General features: G+C 47.8%; 1 protein-coding gene across 5 annotated transcripts, besides 3 other annotated features; it reads left to right on the plus strand.

Annotated features, from left to right (window-relative positions):
* Positions 1–240: a silencer, noted in NCBI's record as "silent region_4207". NCBI's record gives its function as "represses an Ori minimal core promoter by ATAC-STARR-seq in GM12878 lymphoblastoid cells {active_cell/tissue: GM12878}" and the evidence as "EXISTENCE:reporter gene assay evidence [ECO:0000049][PMID:35858748]".
* On the plus strand, positions 146–22,947 carry FOXJ2 (forkhead box J2). 5 transcript variants are annotated; one of them, XM_011520761.3, is made up of 13 exons: positions 146–1,263; positions 1,497–1,607; positions 7,249–7,595; positions 10,088–10,162; positions 11,131–11,199; positions 11,381–11,521; positions 12,190–12,388; positions 15,312–15,719; positions 16,127–16,228; positions 16,792–17,001; positions 17,780–17,870; positions 17,952–18,050; positions 20,192–22,947. In XM_011520761.3, the coding sequence occupies exons 3-13, from the start codon at positions 7,263–7,265 to the stop codon at positions 20,238–20,240; spliced, it is 1,776 nt and encodes a 591-aa protein (XP_011519063.1). In that variant the 5' UTR covers positions 146–1,263; positions 1,497–1,607; positions 7,249–7,262; the 3' UTR covers positions 20,241–22,947. The 5 variants fall into 5 exon arrangements, with proteins under 5 accessions (XP_011519063.1, XP_047285108.1, XP_011519062.1 ...); XM_047429152.1 differs by lacking the exon at positions 17,780–17,870; XM_011520760.3 differs by lacking the exon at positions 1,497–1,607.
* Positions 4,742–4,841: an enhancer, noted in NCBI's record as "active region_5925". NCBI's record gives its function as "activates an Ori minimal core promoter by ATAC-STARR-seq in GM12878 lymphoblastoid cells {active_cell/tissue: GM12878}" and the evidence as "EXISTENCE:reporter gene assay evidence [ECO:0000049][PMID:35858748]".
* Positions 6,350–6,479: an enhancer, noted in NCBI's record as "active region_5926". NCBI's record gives its function as "activates an Ori minimal core promoter by ATAC-STARR-seq in GM12878 lymphoblastoid cells {active_cell/tissue: GM12878}" and the evidence as "EXISTENCE:reporter gene assay evidence [ECO:0000049][PMID:35858748]".

Genomic DNA, 23,668 nt, shown 5'->3' on the forward strand with positions numbered 1-23,668 from the left:
GCTCGCGGCTCGGCGCTGCCCGCGGCTCGGCGTCTCCCGGCTCCTCCTTAACCCGCGCCGGGAGGCGGTGGCGGCAGCGGCCGGCGGGCGGGGGAGGGGGAGGGGCGCGGAGCGCGGCGCGGAGGCCGGGGAGGAGCCGGGGCCTGCAGCGGAGCCGAGCCGAGCCCGAGCCCGCGCCGAGCCCTGACACTGTCTGCCCGCCTTCTGGCTCCCCGGGAGCCCAGACTGGTCGGAGCCCGAGCGGTGGCAGCGCGGGGAGCCCCACGCGCCGAAGGGAGCGGACCCGACAGGACGGCCCTAGAGGAGGTGCTGCCGCCACAGTAGCAGGGACCGGAGTCTCGAGCCGCGGCCTCCCGGACCGTGCTGCCCAGGCCAGCTCAGGGACAGCCGGGAGTACGAAAGCCCCACCCTCTGGGGCACCCCGGGAGCGGAGGCGGGAGCGGGGACGCGAGCAACCTCTCCCCCTGTTGGAGAGAAAAGACCCTTACCACTCGGGTGAGGGAAAGAAGAGACCCCTGGAGGGGACGCCTCTCTCCTGCCTAGAGGCGAGGAAGACCCCTGTACTGGCCGGGGAGGAGACCCCCAGAAGTGGAAAGAAGGGAGCTTTCCGTAGGGAAGCAGAGTGAGACCACCCTAGCGCGCCCCCGCCCCTCCAAACACACACTCTCAACAGTTCAGGACTTTGGAGGCAAAGAGAGACGGGGCTGTGCCTGTGGAGTAGGCACCCTCGGCCCACCACTATTCACAGGAGACAGGAGTCCTTACGTTCAGAAGCCACTCCAGGGAAAGAAGAGGAATCGGCTTTCAGCCTTCTGGAGAGGGGAAGACCTCCCCCTCAACTTCCTCGTGCCTAGACAGTGGAACGGGGTGGAGCCCCTCCGCTCCTATCTCCAGCAGACAGAAAGAGCCCTCCACCTCAGAAAGATCCAGTTTGGGGGGGAGGGGAACTCCCCCAAGGGGGAGGAGACAACTCCTGGTTGGGAGAGGCTCCTCCCCTCCTCCCCCGGGTAACAAGCAGGGTGTGGGGGGTGTGCCACCTTCCCCAAGTAGGACCTCCTTCTCCTCCCCCTCCCCCTCCTCCAACCTTGACTCCTCATCCTCAGGGGACCCAGTTCCCCTCACCAACTTGGGAGGCTCAGCCTCGTCCAGGAAGAGCCACTGAGGATGAGAGCCGTCACCTGCCTCTGAAGAGGGGAATCCCTCCAACCCCAAACTCCAGTACCAGGTGGTTCCCTCCCTTTGCCGGAGGAACCTTGGAGACAGGTTAGTGCTTTCTTTCATCTTCTCTCTGTCATTGTCTGGCACTAGTGGGTGTAGGGGGTTGAGCTGGTGGATCGTGGGTTTCACTGCCGGGGAAGACAGAGTGATGACTCAGAAAATCCAATGGGAAATGTGATCCAAGGGAGCTCCTGGATTTGAACCCACATCTTGCTGCAGAAGCTCTGAGAAATGGGTTTCTTAGTGTTTGGGGACTAAAGGGATGGGATTCATTTTAGGTCCCTTAGGGAAGTGGATGTTTTCATGCTGAGGAAAAGGGTTATCGGAAAACAGCTGCATTTTGAGAACATGCATACTGTGTAGCAGTGATTTACACAACCCAACCAGTGGTAAGATTCCCATACCACCCTTCACCCTTGGGCCTTTTCCCCTGGAGAGTGGGCTGTCATGAAAATCACGGTGGCATCTGGGGTCCTGGCCTTGCCCAGGGCATGCCGAGGTCAGCTTAGTGTTCACCAGAGGTGTTCCCTCCAGCTTACTGCAATTATAGCTCCCTTGACAAGAAAAGCAATCTGTTCCTGCTCATCCTATCTCAGATACCAAGAGGCCTCCTCTCCTGACATTTCCATTCCTAGCTGGATGTATGCCTCTGCCCATAAAATCCAAAGGGAAAATGGGAATCCCACATGTTCTGAGGCGAGAAGAAAGTGTGCAGGGGAATGCCAACTCCCGGGTTAAAGTGCTTCCTTGATGCTGGCCCTGAACCACTGCCCCAGTCCCCTTCTCGACTCCTGTTTTTTGCTCACAATTCTTCAGGAAAAATTAGATCCTGGATACGAAGGGAGGAGGGCTGCTGCTCCGCTTCTGTCCAGACTTCCAGTTAAACAAGTTGACCACTGGAGAGATTTCACTTCTGAGGAGTATATAAAGTTTCCTTCCAGAAAAGTACCTAATAGTCTCATCCTCTCCCTTCCTGTTTCTTGTTCAGTTCTGAGTCCCTCGAACCTTGTGTTAAAGTTTTCCTTCATAAGCTAGGGAATTATCAAAGTCCAGAATCTTCAGAAAAGGCAGGAAAAGGGTACCAGGAAATCCTCCCCTGAAGCCTAGGCTGTTTTTAGGAGAGGTCACTAGCTGGTTGTCTGCTTTCCTGCCTCACCATTAGCAGATACCTTATCTTCTGTCTCACAGCAAGGACAAGTTGTGAAGGAGGCTTCATCTGACTTGGCCTTTCATATTTCCTCCTCTCTCTGGGGCATGGGTGAGGTCTACCTAAATTCCTGAGTACAGTCATTTGTCCTGGAAGCTACTGGTGGTATATGAGATAGGGCACAGGTTTGTGTGGCTGTGCTATAGGACAACATGCATATACTTCTTAATTCATGTGAATGTGGCTCTCTGTTTCAAGTGGGTATGTGTGTGGAGACAGGTACTTATGTGCTTTTCAGACTATACTCCAGTTACCTAGAATTGTATGTTTCTGGTGGGCCTCTAGAAGCAGGTGCCTCTGTACAAGGACATGGATAGGTGGTGGTAAGGATGGCCACCTGAGGGGAAAGGCTTGGCCTCCCCCCAGTCAATGGGAGCCCTCGTGACGGTCTACAGGACAGTCCTTTAAGCAGCAGGGCAACCCAGTCTCAGGCTGGGATCATTTCTTCTAGGACTAATAAGAGAGCTTCATTGCTGATACCTCTGGTCTCAGAAGGATGAGGATCCTTGACTCCTAACTCCAGAACTCCTTCCCCTACCTTTTACAAAAGAGGCCTCGCTGGTTAACAGCAGCCTGTTTCTTATAAAGTACTTCACCAGATGCTGGCGTGCACCTGCCTGAATGGCTCAGGGTGAACTATATCACAACATCTCCAAGTACACCACCGCCACGCAGTTTAACTGGCCCTGCTTGGACTGAGTTCCCTAACCCTGCTTGCTTCTCTGGAATCAGTTAGAAGTAGGTGGCTACTGAGTGGGATTAACTGTGGTTTAGAGAGTGTGCTTTCCCAGACCATGTCTTATGACTACACCTAGTTCCCCCGGGAAGATAAGAGATGATAGTTCCTCATTCCTTCATCCTTAGAGTCTTCCTGATCCTAGCATTAGCCAGTACTGGGTGATATTATCTCTAAAGGAAAAGTTTGAGATTCTGACATCCTGAAAACCATTGCAGATGCAGTGCAGGCTTTGTAATGCAAACCACTGCAGGCTTGCTGCTTCCACTTCTACCTCTATAGTCTGTCAGTTTGCTAATTTTTAATTTCTAGTATTCTCTTTTTTCCCCATTTAAAAACAACAGCTACATTTATTTAGCACTTACTAAGTGCTCTAAAAATATTAACTCAAGGTAATCCTTACAACAATCAAAATAGTGGAGCTGGGATTGAAACTCAGGCAGCCTAACTCCTCATGTGCTACACCTAGCCACTGCCCTCTTTGTTCTAGCATTCTGTATGGGGCAGGAAGTCATCACACCTTATTACCTGACATTGGCATTAGAACAATTAGTGGCCTTTCAGATAAAATGGGAAGAAAACTGAGCCTGTTATTGTGGATCTTACATGTTTCATCCAGGATCGGTCTTTCACTCCGAGAATGTCTATGTGTCTGTTTTTCTCTGCCTTTCTCCCAGTTCTGTAGTCTTCATTAGACGTCGTGTGGATGTGATGGACCCTGCCCTTTGGCTGCCTTTCCCAGCTTCTATGGGTATTTCCTTTCAGTCTTCCAGCACACAGAGAAGAATGTGGCCTGACTCAGGTTCTGCCCAAGCCCCGTGGCACAGGGCCCTGGAGAGAGAGGTCTGGGTAACTAGGTTGGTTGGACTGAGAAATGGAAGTACCTCTTGTTTGCCTTTCTAATAATAGCCCTGAACATTAGCCTCGTGCCATTATTTTGGGGAGCGTGGAATGTGTGGCAGCCACCAGCTCATTAAGTTTCATTCACTTCCCTCCAGGGACGATGCTTTGGCAGGGTTTATGGGTTCATCTCTTTTATGGAAGGGGGAAACTGAGGCATCAAGACTTCACTGGGGGCCAGGCATGGTGTTTCACACCTGTAATCCCAGCACTTTGGGAGACCGAGATGGGTAGATCACCTGAGGTCAGGAGTTCAAGACCAGCCAGGCCAACATGGTGAAACCCCACCTCTACTAAAAATACAAAAAATAGCCGGGTGTGGTGGCGTGTGCCTATAATCCCAGCTACTCGGGAGGCTGAGAAAGGAAAATCGCTTGAACCTAGGAGATGGAGGTTGCAGTGAGCCGAGATCGCGCCACTGTACTCTATCCTGGGCCACAGAGCAAGGCTTCGTCTCCAAAAAGACAAAACAAAACAAAACAAAAACAAAAAACACTTCATCAGAGAGGCACGGATGGTTAGGGACAGTCCAGCAGGATTTGGAATAGAACCAAGGAACCTCAGTCTCTGAGGCTCTACATGCTGGGCTGCCCTTCACAAATGGGGAAGTGAAGAGGGTGAGGAAGTGGGATGGGTCAAAGGAGAACGGTGCGGAAAGATCAAAAGAATCAGATGCTACAAGCTGCTTGTAGCTGGTGAGATTTGAATATATTTTGAGTGCTGGGGGCTGTATCTGGAGGGCTGACTGGAAGGGGGCTGGAGAAAGGTTAAATTTAACCTCAGTGTCCTAACCTGGTGCTAGGGTAAGGGTAGGGAAGGGCGTAGAACAACTTGCAAAAGGCTGAGAGTGCTTCCCTTTCAGGAACTCACTGTGATTGGCATGTGCCAAATGGGTTCTTCTGTAAGCCCTCTAAACACTTTAAATCCACTCTCATGCCCCTGTCCAATGCTGGGAAAGTTGTTTCAAATGAACATCAACTGAAGGCCTCCGTGCTCTTAAGATGAAATTTCCTAGGGATCTTTAGAAGGAGATAAATAGGGAATAGGGCAGAAGTACTTTAGGGACCTCCCCATCTGGGGAGGACCCAGGAGGACCCTGGTCATTGGAAACCTGCTCATTGGCATGCCACTCTTCAGCTCAGATGACCCAGCTACAGGACTGTGATCCTGCTACAAGTATACAAGTATATATGTGATCTGCTATAGCCCAGGGACTGGGGTGTTTTGACTTAGTAGTATTGGAAGGTGTGAGGTTCCTGGAATGATTAAGTGTTCCTATTAGTTTCCAAGTTTCCATGGTTAGGGCAAGGTGGCAGTGGGATGAAGAGGATAGTGGGAGAGAAGCTAAGGATAAAGGGGAAACCCTTCATGACGCTATTTATAAACATGCCAGCCCCCCTCGCTCCGCCCCTTTTCTCCTGTCAAACAATTCTTGGGTTAGAGTTGCGTCTCTTGCTGCCCCCGCCCCTGAGGCACTAAGGTGTTTCCTTCAGCCTTGTGGAGTGAGTGTGTTGCTGGTTAGGAGCTGGGTACTTGTGCACACATGCAGATTGCCATCTGCGTGGGTGGGACCTTGGGGAGAGGGGAGTAAGTCAGAATGCTGACCCCTAGGAGAAAGGCTTAAGGGTCAAGGGCAGAAGAATCACTACCTAGGATAGAAGAGGGAGCTGAGACCCTGAAGGATGTGTTGGAGTCAGGAGAGAGGGGGACATGGTCCTATCTGCTGTTGAGCTTTGGCCTGCAAAGTGTGTGGATCTGTTGTATTTTATGGATACGCTTGTGCATATATCTGGCTGTGGATTTAGAGATCACTTACATCATACGTTTCTGTTCAGGATTCTGAACTTTGAGGCAATCTAGTCCTGGCTCCTCAGGAGAAGTGCCCTGGTGGGACTGAGGAAGACAATGTTAGCTGGCATCTGGCGGCTGTGCAGGCACAAACCTGCTAGGCAGCAAGTGCTTAGGGGGTTGCTGGCATCAGCTCTAGGGGAGTGCCAAATGGCTACCTAGGGGTTCCTGCCAGCCTTTCTAGACCCTGCAATACAGATATCACCCATCGTTCTTCACCTTCCCTCGCAAGATGTCACTAGCTATACCTCTCTGCTGGCAAGAGTGCCCAGGCAGTGTGGGTGGCAGCAGGGCGTGCAAGCATCAGGCGTAGGCGGTCTGGCAGCTCCAGGAGTTTGCATGGAGGTGCAGCGAGCGTGCCTGCCTGGCTGGGAAGGAAGGAGGGAGGAGGAGGGCGGAGAAGGGGAGCCAGCTCCGAGCTCCAGAGTGGCTATTTTTAGCCAGGCTATCTGATTGTTACCGGTAGGCACACAGCTGGGTGTCTCCCTGGCTCGGTGAAGCCCAGCAGGCTGAGAGGTGGGAGGTCCTTGTGGATGACTTCTTCCTGGTGTTGGTGTCTGTGGGCGGGAGCGTGCAAGGGGTAGCTTAAAAAGTGTGAGGGCAGCTGTGTACTTCAGGATGTGTTGCTTCTGTGTGTGACTTTGTCCTCTGGTGGTAATGTATGCTGTATATGTAATCGTGATCTCTGTGTATGTGCTTCACTGTTTATGAGTCTGTCTGCTGGTTGTCATGTATACTTTATGCCTGGGATATATCTAATATGCCTCAGGTGCACATGTGTGTGGGATAAAAAGGGCAAGTGCTCGTAATGCATCTAGTAGGAAACATCTTTAGACGTGTTGGTGTGTGCTTCATCCGTGTATGTTTGTATTTAGGTAGACTTTTGCTTTATATGTACGTTCGTGCCGTCTATCTGTGCATGTTGTATGAAAATATAACAGGTGTCACATGATTGCAGAATGGACTTTTAATTTTACCTGCTATCTAAGTGGGGTTTTTCTTTTTTCAAACCCATTCCTACATAGTTTAAAAATACTATGTTGTAGGGCTATGAGTAAGGTGAATTGAGGAAATAGCTCCATTTGGTGTGAAGTTTGGTCTCTTTTAGTCTTACATGGAGAGGCCCCTTGGCCCTGCTCCACAATAAGATGTAGGGTAACTAGCAGTCCATCATCTGGTAGATAGATCTGCTTGGGGATTCTGGGAACACCTGGTGGAAGGCCATGCCATGGGTGTCTTATGGGAATGAGAGTAGGAAGAAACTCTACTTCCCTCAAACAAAAGGATTTGAGTATTACTTGCCCCCAGTATTTTCGTCTCCTCTTTGTCTTCTCTGCAGAACCCAGAAGTACCATGGCTTCTGACCTAGAGAGTAGCCTCACCTCCATAGACTGGCTCCCCCAGCTGACCCTCCGAGCTACCATTGAGAAGCTTGGAAGTGCCTCCCAGGCTGGGCCTCCCGGGAGCAGCCGCAAGTGTTCACCAGGGTCACCCACAGATCCTAATGCCACCCTGAGCAAAGACGAGGCAGCAGTGCACCAGGACGGCAAGCCACGATACAGCTATGCCACTCTCATCACCTATGCCATCAACTCCTCTCCAGCCAAGAAGATGACCCTCAGCGAGATTTACCGCTGGATCTGTGATAACTTCCCCTATTACAAGAATGCTGGCATTGGTTGGAAGGTGGGAATGCTTCTATAATCTTGGCTTAGGTTTAGGCTTCAACAGCCTTTTTAGAGAAAAAGGTTTTGTTTCTTCTTGTAACCTGTTCAGTTTACTCTGGTTTGTCTCAGAGATGTGAAAACTTAAAATCTCATATGTTCTGCCCTCTACTTTTTTTTCAGAGTTGAACAACTTTTATAAGGTATATTAGGGAAACTCCAAGCCATTAAGTATAGTGATGGGGATGGCAGGACGCTGTTGCTCATCACACCCTCTTATCTTCTTTTTTTTTTTTGAGACAGAGTCTCGTACTGTCGCCTGGGCTGGGGTGCAATGGCATGATCTCGGCTCACTGCAACTTCCACCTCCCAGGTTCAAGCGATTTTCCTGCCTCAGCTTCCTGAGTAGTTGGGATTACAGGTGCCCGCCACCGTGCCCGGCTGATTTTTTGTATTTTTAGTAGAGATAGGGTTTCGCTATGTTGGCCAGGCTGGTCTCGAACTCCAGATCTCATTATCCACCCGCCTCAGCCTCCCAAAGTGCTGAGATTACAGGCATGAGCCACTGCACCCGGCCCACATCCTCTTGTCTTCTGATCCCTCAAAGAGGATATTCACTCATTTCACAAATGTTTATTGCCATTCTACGATGTTCCAGTCACTGTGCAAGGCATGGCATCACTCCTTCCTACCTAGAGGTAGGAGTCTAATCTAGAGCATCAGATTTCCATAGCTCCATTGCACAGTCATCATCTTTTGAAAAGCTGCATTCCAAGAAAAATCATAATATAATTAGGTTCTTTACAAACAGCTGGCTACCAAGCAAGTAATGAGAAGTTAAGTTGTTTGGCTGGAGATGAAGAAAGAAGGGGCTCCTCTCCTAAGCAAAGCAAGAAGGCTGATAGGCTCAATTTTTTGGAGCAGTAGCTCATTTGTCAATTGTTGAGTAGGAATAGGAACTTTATATGTAGTTCTCTCACTCTATAAATCCCCAGTTGACATACAAACCATGTAGTGAGTTGGAGACTATTGAAAGCACTCAGCTTTCTTTTCTTTTCTTTTTTTTTTTGTGGGGGTGGGGGACAGGGTCTCACTGTCCCCAGACTGGAGTTTAGTGGCGTGATATCAGCTCACCATAACCTCCGCCTCCTGGGTTCAAGCAATCCTCCTGCCTCAGCCTCCCGAGTAGCTGGGATTACAGGCGCCTGCCACTGCAACCAGCTAATTTTTTTTGTATTTTTAATAGAGACGGGGTTTCACCATGTTGGCTGGGCTGGTCTTGAACTCCTGACCTCAAATGATCCACCTCCTGCCTCAGCCTCCCAAAGTGCAGGGATTACAGGTGTGAGCCACCGTACCCAGCCTCTCTTTTTTTTTTTTTTAATTTTAAGACAGGGTCTTGCTCTGTCACCCAGGCTGGATTGTAGTGGTACAATCACAGCTTACTGCAGCTTGAACCTGGGCTCAAGCAATCCTTCCACCTAAGCCTCCTGAGTAGCTGGGACTACAGGCATACACCACCATGCACAGGAACTTTTTTTTATTTTGTAGAAATGAGGTCTCACTGTGTTGCCCAAGCTGGCCTCAGGCTTCTAGACTCAAGTGATCTTCCCATCTCGGCCTCCCAAGATGCTGGAATTACAGGCATGAGCCATTGTGCCTGGCCCATTGAGCTTTCCCTTTGTAAATATGTCCCTGCTAGCTACCATAATCCCCAATCCCACCCAACACACACATTTTTTTTTTTTTTTGAGACGGAGTTTCGCTCTTGTTCACTAGGCTGGAGTGCAGTGGCATGATCTGGGCTCACTGCCACCACTGCCTCCTGGGTTCAAGCGATTCTCCTGTCTCAGCCTCCTGAGTAGCTAGGATTGCAGACATGTGCTACCACGCCTGGCTAATTTTTGTATTTTTAGTAGAGACGGGGTTTCACCATGTCGGCTAGGCTGGTCTCGAACTCCTGACCTCAGGTGATCAGCCCACCTCAGCCTCCCAAAGTGTTGGAATTATAGGCGTGAGCCACCACGCCTGACCCCAACACACTTATACAATATTTCTTTCCTCCAAATGTGAACATTCTATGGGCTATTGAGAAAATGAAGGTGATCTGTGTTTTTGTTTCACTCAATTTATATAAAAAGTTTTAAAACATTGTTCTTTTGCTATCAGTAGGGTAGATTGAGGAACTGGGCAGATGTGATTGTGAGGCATTTATATACTTGTTACTCGGCTGGAAAGATTGAAAAACTATATAATCAGTTTTTTCAGAAGCATTAGTAATCAAATTTATAGCCATTCCCTCCCATCAGTTTAATCTCTGCATTTTTCTTATCTCATTGCTATTGCTATTTGATGCATAATTCCCTCCATCGGTGTAGTTAAGAGGTACTGAGCTTACCCTGATACTTCAACTGCATGGTGTATTATGTTTTTTTGTGTGTCCCTCTGTGTTCTATTGGAAAATGTTCTGCTCTGCATAATGCTCAGGCCTAACTTGCTTCTCTGCCTCTCCAGAATTCAATACGGCACAACCTTTCTCTCAACAAGTGTTTCCGGAAGGTGCCCAGACCTCGGGATGACCCTGGGAAGGTAAGATACTACTGTAAGCATTGAAAGGAGGAGTAGGAAGGAGAGTGAAGTAGTTGACAGTCCAGAGTCCTGTGGCTGTTTTAATTACCCAGAAGAGGAAATCATGCTAATTAGAGAAGCATCTTTATTTTTTTCTCAGAGGAAGCTTGGTTGTCAAGCTTATGGGCCCCCAGTAGAATGGGTGACTGAGAAAGACTGTGAGGCCAGGCGTGGTGGCTTATGCCTGTAATCCCAACACTTTAGGTGGCCGAGGCGGGCGGATCAACTGAGGTCAGGAGTTCAAGATCAGCCTAGTCAACATGGTGAAACCCCATCTGTACTAAAAATACAAAAAATTAGCCAGGCGTGGTGGTACATGCCTGTAATCCCAGCTACTCAGGAGGCTGAGGCAGGAGAATTGCTTGAACCTGGGAGGCAGAGGTTGCAGTGAGCTGAGATTGTGCCATTGCACTCCAGCCTGGGCAACAAGAGTGAAACTCCATCTCAAAAAAAAAAAAAAAAAAAAAGACTGTGAAATCTTTTTTTTAAAAAAATAGAAATACTTAGTGTAAAGTTGACTTTCATGCTCCCCCTTTTTTGTGTGGCACTCTTTTTTCCTAGATGTAAAAGGTAGACTTAATAACCTTTGTACAAACATCTCTATACAAAAGTCCCTGGTGTTTCCCCCGTAAAAGAGAAGGGATGGATCATTCTCTCCATTTGACAGATGTGGATGCTAAAGTCCAAGCAAGTTTTGCCTCAGGTCAGAAGGGAAGGGAGAGGCTGTGTCTGGACATTTCCAGCTCTTTGAGCTAGATGCCATTGTTCTGCCCCTCCAAAACAATCGAGGCCTGTGTTTGGACCACAGGATTACCTCTGGCATACTCAGTGAGTTTCTAGGACAAATTTGCTCTTCATTAATACCCAGAACCCTGGGAGGTTCTGAATGTAACAATTTTGTTTTCTGTGGGAATGGGATCTCCTTCCAGGGTTCCTATTGGACAATTGACACCTGCCCTGACATTTCCCGAAAGAGAAGACACCCTCCAGATGATGATGTAAGTTCCCAGCTCATGAGGAGATGCCATATCTGAGCCAGCTGCTCCTTCCACCTCCTCTTATGGACGTTCAGTCCTTTCAGAGGCAAAGGTGGAAGGAATACCAGCAGAGGGGAAACCATGGGTCTTGGGAGGATATTGCGCCTCTGCTTATAGATTTCTTTTTTTTCACAACCCTCAGCTGTCCCAAGACTCACCAGAACAGGAGGCAAGCAAGAGCCCACGGGGAGGCGTTGCAGGGAGTGGAGAAGCCTCACTGCCTCCTGAGGGGAATCCGCAGATGTCACTTCAGAGCCCCACATCTATAGCCAGCTACAGCCAGGTAGGAAGCAGATATGGCAGGGGTCATGGGATGGGTGGTGAATAGATTCAGATGTCTCCCTGTTTATTCAGAATTATGTATTGAGTATCTGTGATATATGAGGCAGATAAATTGAGAAGGAAGGGGAAGGCAAAAGAGGGAAATAGAGAGAGAGAGAAATAGAAAGGCATAGCAGAACTTTGAGAAACATCAGGAAAAAAAAGCTGGGCACAGTGGCTCATGCCTGTAATGTCAGCACTTTGGGAGGTCGAGGCAGGCGGATCACGTGAGTCCACGAGCTTGAGACCCGCCTATCCAACATGCCAAAACCCCATCTCTACAAAAATACAAAATTAGCTGGGCGTGGTGGCATGTGCCTATAGTTCCTGCTACTTGGGAGGCTGAGGCATGAGAATCACTTGAACCGGGGAGGTGGAGCCTGGGCGACAGAGCGAGACCCTGCCTCAGAAACAAACAAACAAACAAAAAAGAAGAAATGGAGACTGATGAGAGAAAGAGGGTAGATTCAAGATAAGAACTAATGAGGAAAGAAGGAGAAAATGATGCTGGGTCATTGAAGAGCTAGGCGAGGATGAAGAGGACAGACAGGAGAGCCTGGTGACCATTGAAGGGTTTTATTGGTCCCTCAGCTGGGACACTGATCAGGAATTTCTTACCTGTTTTTGCAGGGCACAGGATCTGTGGATGGTGGAGCAGTGGCAGCAGGGGCTTCAGGCCGAGAAAGTGCTGAGGGTCCCCCTCCCCTCTATAACACCAACCATGACTTTAAATTCTCCTACTCAGAGATCAACTTTCAGGATCTAAGCTGGTCCTTCCGCAACCTCTATAAGTCCATGCTGGAGAAGTCCTCTTCCTCCTCTCAGCACGGTGAGTCTGGAGTTGGGATGGGTGCAGGGAGACTTTTTTATCTTGTTGAACAAGTGGGGTGACATTTTCTTTTTTCCCTTAGTTTTTTATTTTTATTTTTTGTGAGACAGGGTCTCACTCTTTCGTCCAAGCTGGAGTGCAGTGGCACGATCTGAGCTCACTGCAACCTCCGCCTCACGGGTTCAAGCAATTCTGTCATCTCAACTTCTCGAGTATCTGGGAGTACAGGCACGTGCTACCACGCTTGGCTAATTTTTGTATTTTTTTTTTTTTTTTTGAGATGGAGTCTCGCTCTTGTCGCCCAGGCTGGAGTGCAGTGGCGCAATCTCGGCTCACTGCAACCTCCGCCTCCCGGGTTCAAGCAATTCTCCTTCCTCAGCCTCCCGAGTAGCTCAGACTACAGGCGCATGCCACACCCAGCTAATTTTTGTACTTTTAGTAGAGACAGGGTTTCACCATGTTGGCCAGGCTGGTCTCGAACTCCTGACCTCAGGTGATCTGCCTGCCTTGGCCACCCAAAGTGTTGGAATTACAGGCATGAGTCACTGTGCCTGGCTTAAGTTTTGTATTTTTAGTAGAGACAGGGTTTCACCACGTTGGCTGGGCTGGTCTCGAACTCCTGGCCTCAAGTGATCCACCCACCTTGGCCTTCCAAAGTGCTGGGATTACAGGCGTGAGCCACCGTGCCCGGCCATATTTCTTTCTTTATTTTTTTGAGGCACAGTTTCGCTCTTTGTTGCTCAGGCTAGAGAGCAGTGTCGCGATCTCGGCTCACTGCAACCTTCGCCTCCCAGGTTCAAGCAATTCTTCTGTCTCAGCCTCCCAATTAGCTGGGATTACAGGCTCCCGCCACCACGCCTGGCTAATTTTTATATTTCTTAGTAGAGACGGAGTTTCACCACGTTGGCCAGGCTGGTCTTGAACTCCTGACCTCAGGTGATCCACTTACCTCAGCCTCCCAAAGTGCTGGGATTACAGGCGTGAGCCACTGTGCCTGACCCATATTTCTTATTTTTAACACAAAGAGAGGTATCACTACTCAGAGGAAATATTTCATGAACTAAAACTGTTTGGAGTCAAGTGAGCTCATCTGTCCTTGTGCAAATACAGCTGTTTCAGGAGGCAAGCTAGGCTAATAGCTTCAGAAAGTGAATTGGAGGATTGCCCCTTCCAGGACTAAGGGCAGTGATTTTAGGGCTGCAAGTGAGTCATTTGGAGGACGACCACGAGGGGGCAGCAGCAGTACCCTCTCCTGAAGAATCCCTGCGTTTCATTGTGAGAACAGTTTCTTTTTAGTGTATTTACATTTATGTTACTTTTATTGTGAAAAATTGCAAACAGATGCAAAAGTGTGGAGAAAAATATAATAAACCCCTGTGTTCCATCCCCCAACTTTAAGTTATCAGTATTTTATTAGGCTTGTTTTGTTTACCACTGAGCCTTCTAAAAATTGGAGTAATTTAATGGAATTCACATATACCATGTCATTCCACTCATAAATACAACTTCGATATACACCTCTAAATGATGACTTTCTTCTAGTTATCTACCATGACATTATCATTCCTAACATAATTGATAATACATCCTTAATATCAGCTAGTATCTTGTCCGTGCACATTTTCCTAATTATCATATGAGAATGACTTAAAGTTTTTACTGGGAGGCCCCTTGAGAGAACATCTGGTTCGGCCCTCTGCAATATCTGTGTGTTCGTTTTTTAAATAACTTAGAGACAGTGGTGAAGTTGATTTCAGGTGAGGCATTAGACCTTCTCATTCTGTGCAGTAGCCCTATGTTGGCAGCAGGGGCTGAATGGAATGATAAAAACTGGTTAGGAGTCACTTTTTGGAAAACTTATATTCATTTTCATGAATTTCTTCTTGTATATCACAGGGGATCAATTCCTAGAGTAGTGTCCAAGACTGTAGCATTTGCTCAAAAAATGAATCCGACTCAGGTGGTTGGTTGATTGGAGGAGGGAACATGAGAAACTGTCAGAAATAAAGTAAAAAATTAGATTGGGTGAGGACAGCCTAGAGTTCACTCAAGTTTTATTGTGACCGAAAGCCCCTAGTCTCAGACTTTTGTTCTTCCCAGCCTGTCTGCTTGAGAAATAACTCCATCCTGTCTCTGCTCCTTACCCAAGCTACATTTGTTTATAGAGGGTACAGGAATGACTTGGCAGTAGCAGAGTGTAGAGAAAATAAGGGGCCGGTCGTGGTGTCTCATGCCTGTAATCCCAGCACTTTGGAAGGCCAAAGTGGGCGGATCACCTGAAGTCAGGAGCTCGAGACCAGCCTCAACATGGAGAAACCCCGTCTCTACTAAAAATACAAAATTAGCCAGGCGTGGTGGTACACACCTGTAGTCTCAGCTACTCGGGAGGCTGAGGCAGGAGAATTGCTTGAACCTGGGAGGCGGAGGTTGCGGTGAGCCGAGATCGCACCATTGCACTCCAGCCTGGGCAACAAGAGCGAAACTCTGTCTCAAAAAACAAAAAACGGAAGGAAGAGGAGATAGTAGACAACTGATGGCTTTGTTTTGTTTCTGATTTACTTTTTTTTTTTTCCCTAAACACTAGATGACCAGGGATGGTTTCCTTTTTAAAGTTCACCTGCTGGGAAACTGTGATTTCAGGCCTTCAGCCAAATCCCTAAAAAGTAGCATTAAATGCTACACACTGACCTTTTTAGTAAGATTTCAGTGGTCTCCACACTGTCAGGGCCCTCCTCTAACCTAAGTGCCTTCCTGTCTCTTGTACCTGCCAGGAGGGCCACAGGGATCTTTGCTGCCCTAGAATGTTCTTACCCTTTTAACTCCACAGTTTTAGTCTGAGGCTTCCCATCTCAACCCAGGGAAAATCCCATTTTGTGAAAAATGCATTGCTTAAGTCACTTGCCTGCTTCCTCCCCACCTGCAGGCTTTTCTTCTCTCCTGGGGGACATCCCACCCTCGAACAACTACTACATGTATCAGCAGCAGCAGCCACCGCCACCTCAACAGCAGCAGCAGCAGCAGCAGCCGCCACAGCCACCTCCCCAGCAGTCCCAGCCACAGCAGCAGCAGGCACCTGCCCAGGGCCCCTCAGCTGTAGGGGGTGCTCCTCCACTGCACACCCCAAGCACAGATGGTTGTACCCCACCAGGGGGAAAGCAAGCTGGGGCGGAAGGCTATGGGCCTCCCCCTGTAATGGCCATGCATCCACCCCCGCTGCAGCATGGAGGCTACCACCCTCATCAGCACCATCCCCACTCCCACCCTGCCCAGCAGCCACCACCTCCACAGCCACAGGCACAAGGCCAGGCTCCCATCAACAACACTGGCTTTGGTGAGTAAGGAGGGTGCACAGTGATCTAGAGGAGGGTGGGGTGATGTCCTTGTCCTAACACCGGCATGGAGGTGCAGTTAGTTAGGAAGTTAATGATGGGTCTTTTAGGCTTCGCTCCTTCATGTGAGCTAATCTGAACAAAGTTACTACTTAGAGCTCTGTCTTATAGAATTCCTGGATCAATTGAGATTGTTTTACATATTCTCCTGACTATGAGCCTGGCTGTACTTAAAGCGTAGCTAGCTTTTCCAGTCCTAAACTCCCAGGGAGGGAGAGTCCAAAACTTGGAAATGCAACTGCTAATCTGTATAGATGCAAGAATCTTGCATGTAGTCAGCCTGGTATCAGTTGACTGCTGTCTTACACTTCACTCTATCTTATTATCCACTTTCCCCTCCTCTTTACAGCCTTTCCTTCTGACTGGTGCTCTAATATTGACTCTTTAAAGGAAAGCTTCAAGATGGTGAATCGGCTCAATTGGTCCAGCATTGAGCAGTCACAATTCTCAGGTTAGTGATCAAAGGACGAAGGAAGAGAGGGATACACTGTAAGGGAAAACCCAGTAGAAACTGGAACCGGAAGGGGGTGGTTAAATGAAGTTGCAGAAATGAGGATTTCATTGTTTTTCTTTCTTTTTACACAAGATGGATCATATTTACATTATTTTCAAATTAACTCAAATTAATCTTGTCTTAACTGAAAATGTGGCAGTGAATAATCCTAGTCCATTCTGTCTTTGGGAGGGAGAAGGCCCTCAGGAATTTAGAGACCGTGGACCACGATTTTGTAGTTTTGTCACCACTCACTGACAGTGTGACCTTGGCTGAGTCACTCAGTCACATTGAAAGTTTATCTTACTCATCAGTAAGATGGCAATTATAAGAATTTGGTAAGGGATCAAATAGAATGAGAGTTTGAAAATGCAGAGCTCTGAAAGATATAAATTGTTATTGTTAGTGCCCGTTATCAGTGGGGGTGATTGATGGTGTGTTTGGAACAGTGAGATAGGGCGGGGTCTGATAGGGGCTTCCTACCTCTGCAAGGTTTGCATTGCTTGCTTCCCTCTTTGTAGAACTGATGGAGAGTCTACGACAGGCAGAGCAGAAGAACTGGACCCTCGACCAGCATCACATTGCCAATCTGTGTGACTCCCTCAACCACTTCCTTACTCAGACTGGTCACGTGCCCCCTCAAGGGGGTACCCACCGCCCACCAGCCCCTGCCCGTATTGCTGACTCCTGTGCCCTCACCAGTGGCAAACAGGAGTCAGCCATGAGCCAAGGTACTGCACCAAGCCAGTTGCCATGGAGGTGGAGACTATGTTGAAAAGGAAGCATAGGAGAAAGGCAAAAGAGAACTGAGAGAAAGGATTTTATGGGGCAGTGACCCAAATTGAGCAGTGGAACTAGTTTATCAGTTGACTGAATATCTGTTGAATCAGTGAAGTCCTAAACTGAAAAATGCAAAAGAAATAGACTGTATGATTCCTTTTTAGACCTCAGTTTGGGAGATCAGAATTGTTTAAGAAAAGGGAGGAGATTTGTTAGAGAAAGGCTGTATTTTAAATTTGCGTCTCAGTAATCCCTACCGCCTGGGTGATACCGGATGAAATGGTGGTTCTATGCTTATGTGATGTTCAAACTAGTGAAATGAGAGAGATGTCATGATTATGTTCCTGTTTCTTGCTTTTTGTTTTTGAGATGGGGTCTCGCTCTGTCGCCCAGGCTCTGGAGTGCAGTGGTGTGATCACGGCTCACTGCAACCTTGACCCCTGGAGCTCAGGTGATCCTCCCACTTTAGCCTCCTGAGTAGCTGGGACTACAGGTGTGTACCACCATGCCCAGCTAATTTTTTTTTTGTATTTTGTGTATAGCTGGGGTTTCACCGTGTCGCCCAGGCTATCTTCAAACTCTTGGACTCAAGGGATCTACCCACCTCGGCTGCCCAAAGTGTTGGGATTACAGGCATGAGCCACCATACCTGGCCCTGTGTTTCTATATTTTTCTTCCTTATATCTTTCCTATTTCACAATTGTACTATCCATTTCTTTTTACCCTCAGTGGTGAGGACTGACAGCTTCTGCAGAAAGCCTTCATGCCTGCAGGAGCTACAGAACAGGGCAGGGAAGAGAGAAGGAGGATGGGAGCAAGGGTATATTTTTTTCTTCCCTGCTTTGTTGAGTACAGTGACCCGCCCCCCCCAACTCAAGTAACTCTTGTCTTGCTTTGGCAGTGAACTCTTATGGGCACCCACAAGCTCCCCACCTCTACCCTGGCCCATCACCAATGTACCCAATCCCCACCCAGGACTCAGCAGGATACAATCGCCCAGGTAAGAGCTAAGAAGCTTGTTTCAAAACCGTTGTACTCTGATGAGTTGCTTTGCTTTCCTTTGACTCTGAGCTGGCATTCTGTGCATTTTTGCCTGCATCTCGCTGGAGGGAATGAGCCTTTATAATTCCCAAGGCTGGAGGATGGGTTACCTGCTAAGAAGGTGTGTGTCGGGGAGACTAACGAAGACAGTGTCCCCTCCCCTCCCTTCCCCTCCCTTCCTTTCCCTTCCCCTTCCCTTCCCTTCCCCTTCCCTTCCCCTTCCCTTCCCCTTCCCTTCCCCTTCCCTTCCCTTTCCTTCCCCTTCCCTTCCCCTTCCCCTTCCCTTCCCCTTCCTTTCCTCTTCCCTTCCCCTCCCTTCCCTTCCCCTTCCCTTCCCTTTCCTTCCCCTTCCCTTTCCCTTCCCTTCCCTTTCCTTCCCCTTCCCCTTCCCTTGCCCTTCCTTTCCCCTTCCCTTCCATTCCCTTTCCCTTCCCTTCCCCTTCCCCTTCCCTTCCCTTCCCTTTCCCTTCCCCTTTTCTTTTCTTTTCAACAGAGTCTCGCTCTGTTGCCCAGGCTGGAGTACAGTGGTGCGATCTCAGCTCACTACAACCTCCACCTCCTGGGTTGAAATGATTCTCCTGCTTGAGCCTCTCAACTAGCTGGGACTACAGACCCACACCACCATGCCTGGCTAATTTTTGTATTTTTAGTAGAGACGGGGTTTTGCCATGTTGGCTAGGCTTGTCTTGAACTCCTGACCACAAGTGATCCACCTGCCTCTGCCTCCCAAAGTGCTGGGATTACAGGCGTGATCCACTGGCCCCGGCTAGATGTACTTTAAAATTAGCAACTGCAATAGTAAAAGGAAGTGAAAGCATACATATAAGCAAAAGATAGCTATGTGCAACATTTTTGTGTGGCTTTGGAATCTAGATGGAAGATGTGCTCAGGCAAATAAAATGAATTTGTTATCCACACATACTTGCTGTGTGCCCATGTCTGCTTTCCTGTCACCTGATCTCTAGAATCAGGGGTCTGGGACTGAAGTATCTCTGATAGTGGGGGTGGGGCAGGGAGACACTAAATTGCCACAGACAGAACAAAATGAACAGGTCCTTCACATTTAGACACATAGAAAAATCACTGTTATTCTGCCTAACCACACGTGTTTTCAATTTTGGGGGTGACATCTGACTCTCTCTATTCTTTGTCCATATAATATAAATACAGATTTCTATACTGCTATTTCATGTGATATTATCTTCTGTTTGTTTGTTTGAGTCAGAGTCTTTTTCTGTTGCCCAGGCTGGAGTGCAGTAGGCAATGGTGTGATCCTGGCTCACTGCAACCTCCGCCTCCCAGGTTCAAGTGATTCTCGAGCCTCAGCCTCCCGAGCAGCTGGGATCACAGGCGCCCGCCACTGTGCCTGGCTAATTTTTATTTTTTAGTAGAGACAGGGTTTCACCATGTTGGCCAGTCTGGTCTAGAACTCCTGACCTCAAGTGATCCACCCATCTCGGCCTCTCAAAGTGCTGGGATTATAGGCATGAGCCACCACGCCCAGCCATATGATATTATCTTCTGTATGTTATTTTATCATTATCATATGTTTTCAGAAGTACAATTTTTTTTTTTTTTTGAGACGGAGTCTCGCTCTATCGCCCAGGCTGGAGTGCAATGGCACGGTCTTAGCTCACTGCAAGACCTCCCGGGTTCATGCCATTCTCCTGCTTCAGCCTCCCGAGTAGCTGGGACTACAGGCACATGTGACCACACCCAGCTAATTTTTTGAGTTTTTAGTAGAGATGGGGTTTCTCCATGTTGGCCAGGCTGGTCTCGAATTCCTGACCTCGTGATCCGCCTGCCTTGGCCTCCCAAAGTGCTGGGATAACAAGTGTGAGCAACTGTGCCTGGCGTCAGAAGTATAATTGTTAATGGCAGCATAATATTTAATTGCTGTGGAATGTAATTTACTCTAGTTTATTTCCTGAGACCTCACTGAAATGGTGACCTGCAACCAAAATTAACTCCAGCTGATAAGGGCGATAGCCTCACAAGGCCTTCTTCGTGGTGTTATCTGGGGCTGAGCACTGTCCTTGTAAATTGAGGGAACAGCTTCCCATCCACTCTCCTTTTACTCTCTTTCTTTCTTTCTAACAGCACACCATATGGTCCCTCGGCCATCAGTGCCACCTCCTGGTGCCAATGAGGAGATCCCTGATGACTTCGACTGGGACTTGATCACTTAGTGCATCACAGAGTGTGGACATCAGCCCAGGGCCGCGTGGTGAAATCTGGCAGTGGGGAAAGAGCAACCCCAGCCCGTCCCTTCCCCCCGTCTGTATATAGACATATATCCTCTTTTTGTTCTTTCTCTGTCAGAGAAGCCACTGCAAGATGCTGCCGAAGATAACCCTCTCTTTCCTGCCTCATTCTTCTCTCTTCCTTCCTGTTTTTTCCTAGTTCTTTTATTATTATTCTTATATTATTATTATTATTATTGGTTATATACTGTCCATAGTCTCCTGTCCCTACATCATGGATCATGTCCACCTTTTGCTAATTTAAAATCATCAGGCTGGAAGATGAAGCCATGATAGCTACAGAGAAAGGTTTTAGACTCCAGTTTACCTTTCTCTTGGAGAAACTCAATGCTAATCCCACCTTTTGGCCCTAAATTGTTTTTTGTTCCCATCAGTTTCAGGCCAGGACTGGAGAGGCCACATTACCAAGTAGAAAGGGTCTGAAACATTACTTGGCAGCCAAGAATTTGGAGGTTTTAAAATGGTGCTAATTCTGTCCTCTGAGGTCTTCCTTGTCCCTTTATACCTTCAATCCTTACTTCTGCCAGTCTGTATTTCCTATCAAGGGTGAAAGTGATGATGGTGGTGCAGGAGGGTGACAATAAAATCCTAGTGGAATTGGAGACCATTGGAAGGGATGGAATATAAGTCAGTGTGAAACTGAGTATACACTGCCATGTTACATCAGTGTCCATTGGCTTGTTTTGAGCCTGTTCTCTAAGAAGATAGGATTGGTTTTAGCCCAAACTCTGCTTCTATGGTAGGGCATGAGGACAACTATTCAGCATGGTTTTAGCTTCTTGGAGATGATTCCAACTTAACTATTTTGGCTTTTTAAACATAATTTTCTCTGAAAATTAATTGTGGCTCTTATTTGCATTTACGAATGATCTTCCCATCCCTTTTTCCCATTCAGCAAATATTAGTTTGTCCTCCTTTAATTGTTTGCCCAAATCTTCCACCCATCTTTTTTCTTCCCTCATTTTCTGGGATTCTCAAGAAAGAAAAAGTAACCCATTATCACTCTGAGTTTCGTCGTGCCCTGAGACATGATGGGAATCTCATTCCCACCTCTCATAGCAGAGCCAAACCTTTAGTGTTGGTGGTAGGAGGATGGGGAGAGGAAAAAAGAGCTGGCAAAGAAATGGATAGGGAATATTTTAGTTCTTTAAATATATAGGCAGATGCTTCTCTTGGAATCCAGATCATCTGGCTGAAGCTTTTGCAAGTAGGCTTTGAGGGGTGAAGGAGATTGGTGGAGGAGAGTAAATAATCTAGAGGCAAGAGTTCAGTGAGGGCCAAGGGGGACCCCCAGAAAAAGGTATGGAGCTAACTCATCTCTTTTACAAGGGGTGGCCATGACTTACTGTTGCAAAGTACTCAGTGTATATTTAATGTTGATTGTTGAATTTTAGTTACGAGAGGGAAGAACAATTTTACTTCTGTCCTTATTTCACTTGCTGAAAAGCTGTGGGACAAAATGTATGGAATAGACAAGGCCACTTTCTTTGTGATTTCTGCTTTTCATGCATATTATTTTATTTACCCATAATTTCCAAGAGGTTTGGCGTTCCGCTCTCCTGCTTTTTTCTTTCATCCACCCCTTTCCTTTTTTTGGAAGGGGGTTATATATGAGAGTTCATTGAAGAAGTCCAGTGAGGCTGAAGTAAAGGGGCAAGATAGGGCAGTTAACTAAAGAGCACTTTATTTCTTTGAAGCCTTTCTAAGAAAGAAATGGGGGTGCGAGTGGCTTGAATCTCCCATGATGTTGGAGGGCACTTAGTGGGGTTGAAGTATGACATAATATTTCCCATTGGGGAAAGGAGAATTTCTCTTAGAGGGTGGCAAAATGCCTTTGCCCAGTGTCCCTATTTTAGGCATCTTTTCCTTCCTTATTCCTTCCAGTCAGGGTGTGTCCTATACAAAACTTCCCATCAGTTCTCCTCAATATTCCCCATTTGTAAATGATCACTTCTCTTTTCTAAACCCTTTTCCTGTTCAGATCCATACAGGATTTGCAAGGGTAGGATCATACATGCAAATGCCCCTTGTTCATCTGTGTCTTCTGCAAACTAGTCTCATGAAGAATTCTGGCGTGCAGCCAGGGTAGCTGAAGTTTGGGTCTGGGACTGGAGATTGGCCATTAGGCCTCCTGAGATTCCAGCTCCCTTCCACCAAGCCCAGTCTTGCTACGTGGCACAGGGCAAACCTGACTCCCTTTGGGCCTCAGTTTCCCCTCCCCTTCATGAAATGAAAAGAATACTACTTTTTCTTGTTGGTCTAGCATTGCTGGACACAAAGTGTAGTCATTATTGTTGTATTGGGTGATGTGTGCAAAACTGCAGAAGCTCACTGCCTATAAGAGGAAATAAGAGAGAAAGTGGAGGAGAGGGACAAAAGGAGTAATTATTTGGTATAGATCCACCCATCCCAACCTTTCTCTCCTCAGTCCCTGCTCCTCATGTTTCTGGTTTGGTGAGTCCTTTGTGCCACCACCCATAATGCTTTGCATTGCTGCATCCTGGGAAGGGGGTATATGGTCTCACAAGTTGTTGTCATTGTTTTTTTGCATGCTTTCTTAATAAAAAAAAAAAAAGAATGTTTACAGTTTTATCTTACTGGTAGTGGTCTCAAGTTTCTTTTGGCCAGGGAAGGAAAAGAGAAACGTGAAAGAATTTAGTCTCAGTTCGTCTTTATTCCTCTTCCACCTTCCACCACTGGGTTGAATTAGTTGACCCTGACACGTTTTGTGACCTTGGTGGGAAAGAAGAATCAAAGGCACGTCCTTAACGTGCCTCTTTTCAAATGCTATCAAGTATGATGACATATTGCGGGAGAGTCAGTCACCCCTTGTAGGTTGGTATATGGAGTAGGCCCACCTTGCTTGCATTTTAGGATAGTTTAAAGATTTAAGATATTATACTTTGGGGCTGGGCGTGGTGGCTCATGCCTATAATCCCAGCAGTTTGGGAGGCCGAGGCAGGCAGATCACCTGAGGTCAGGAGTTCGAGCTCAGCCTGACCAACATGGTAAAACCCCGTCTCTACTAAAAACACAAAATTAGCCGGGCGTGGTGGTGCATGCCTGTTATCCCAGCTACTCTGGAGGCTGAGGCAGGAGAATCGTTTGAACCTGGAAGGCGGAGGTTATAGTAAGCCAAGACTGCACTGTTGCACTCCAGCCTGGGTGACAAGAACGAAACTCTCTCTCAAAAAGAAAAGATATTGGTTGGGCGCGGTGGGTCACACCTGTAATCCCAGCACTTTGGGAGGCCGAGGTGGGCAGATCACAAGGTCAGGAGTTCGAGACCAGCCTGGCCAACATGGTGAAACCT

The sequence above is a fragment of the Homo sapiens genome, chromosome 12 (genome assembly GCF_000001405.40).
Source record: "Homo sapiens chromosome 12, GRCh38.p14 Primary Assembly".
Taxonomy (NCBI): domain Eukaryota; kingdom Metazoa; phylum Chordata; class Mammalia; order Primates; family Hominidae; genus Homo; species Homo sapiens.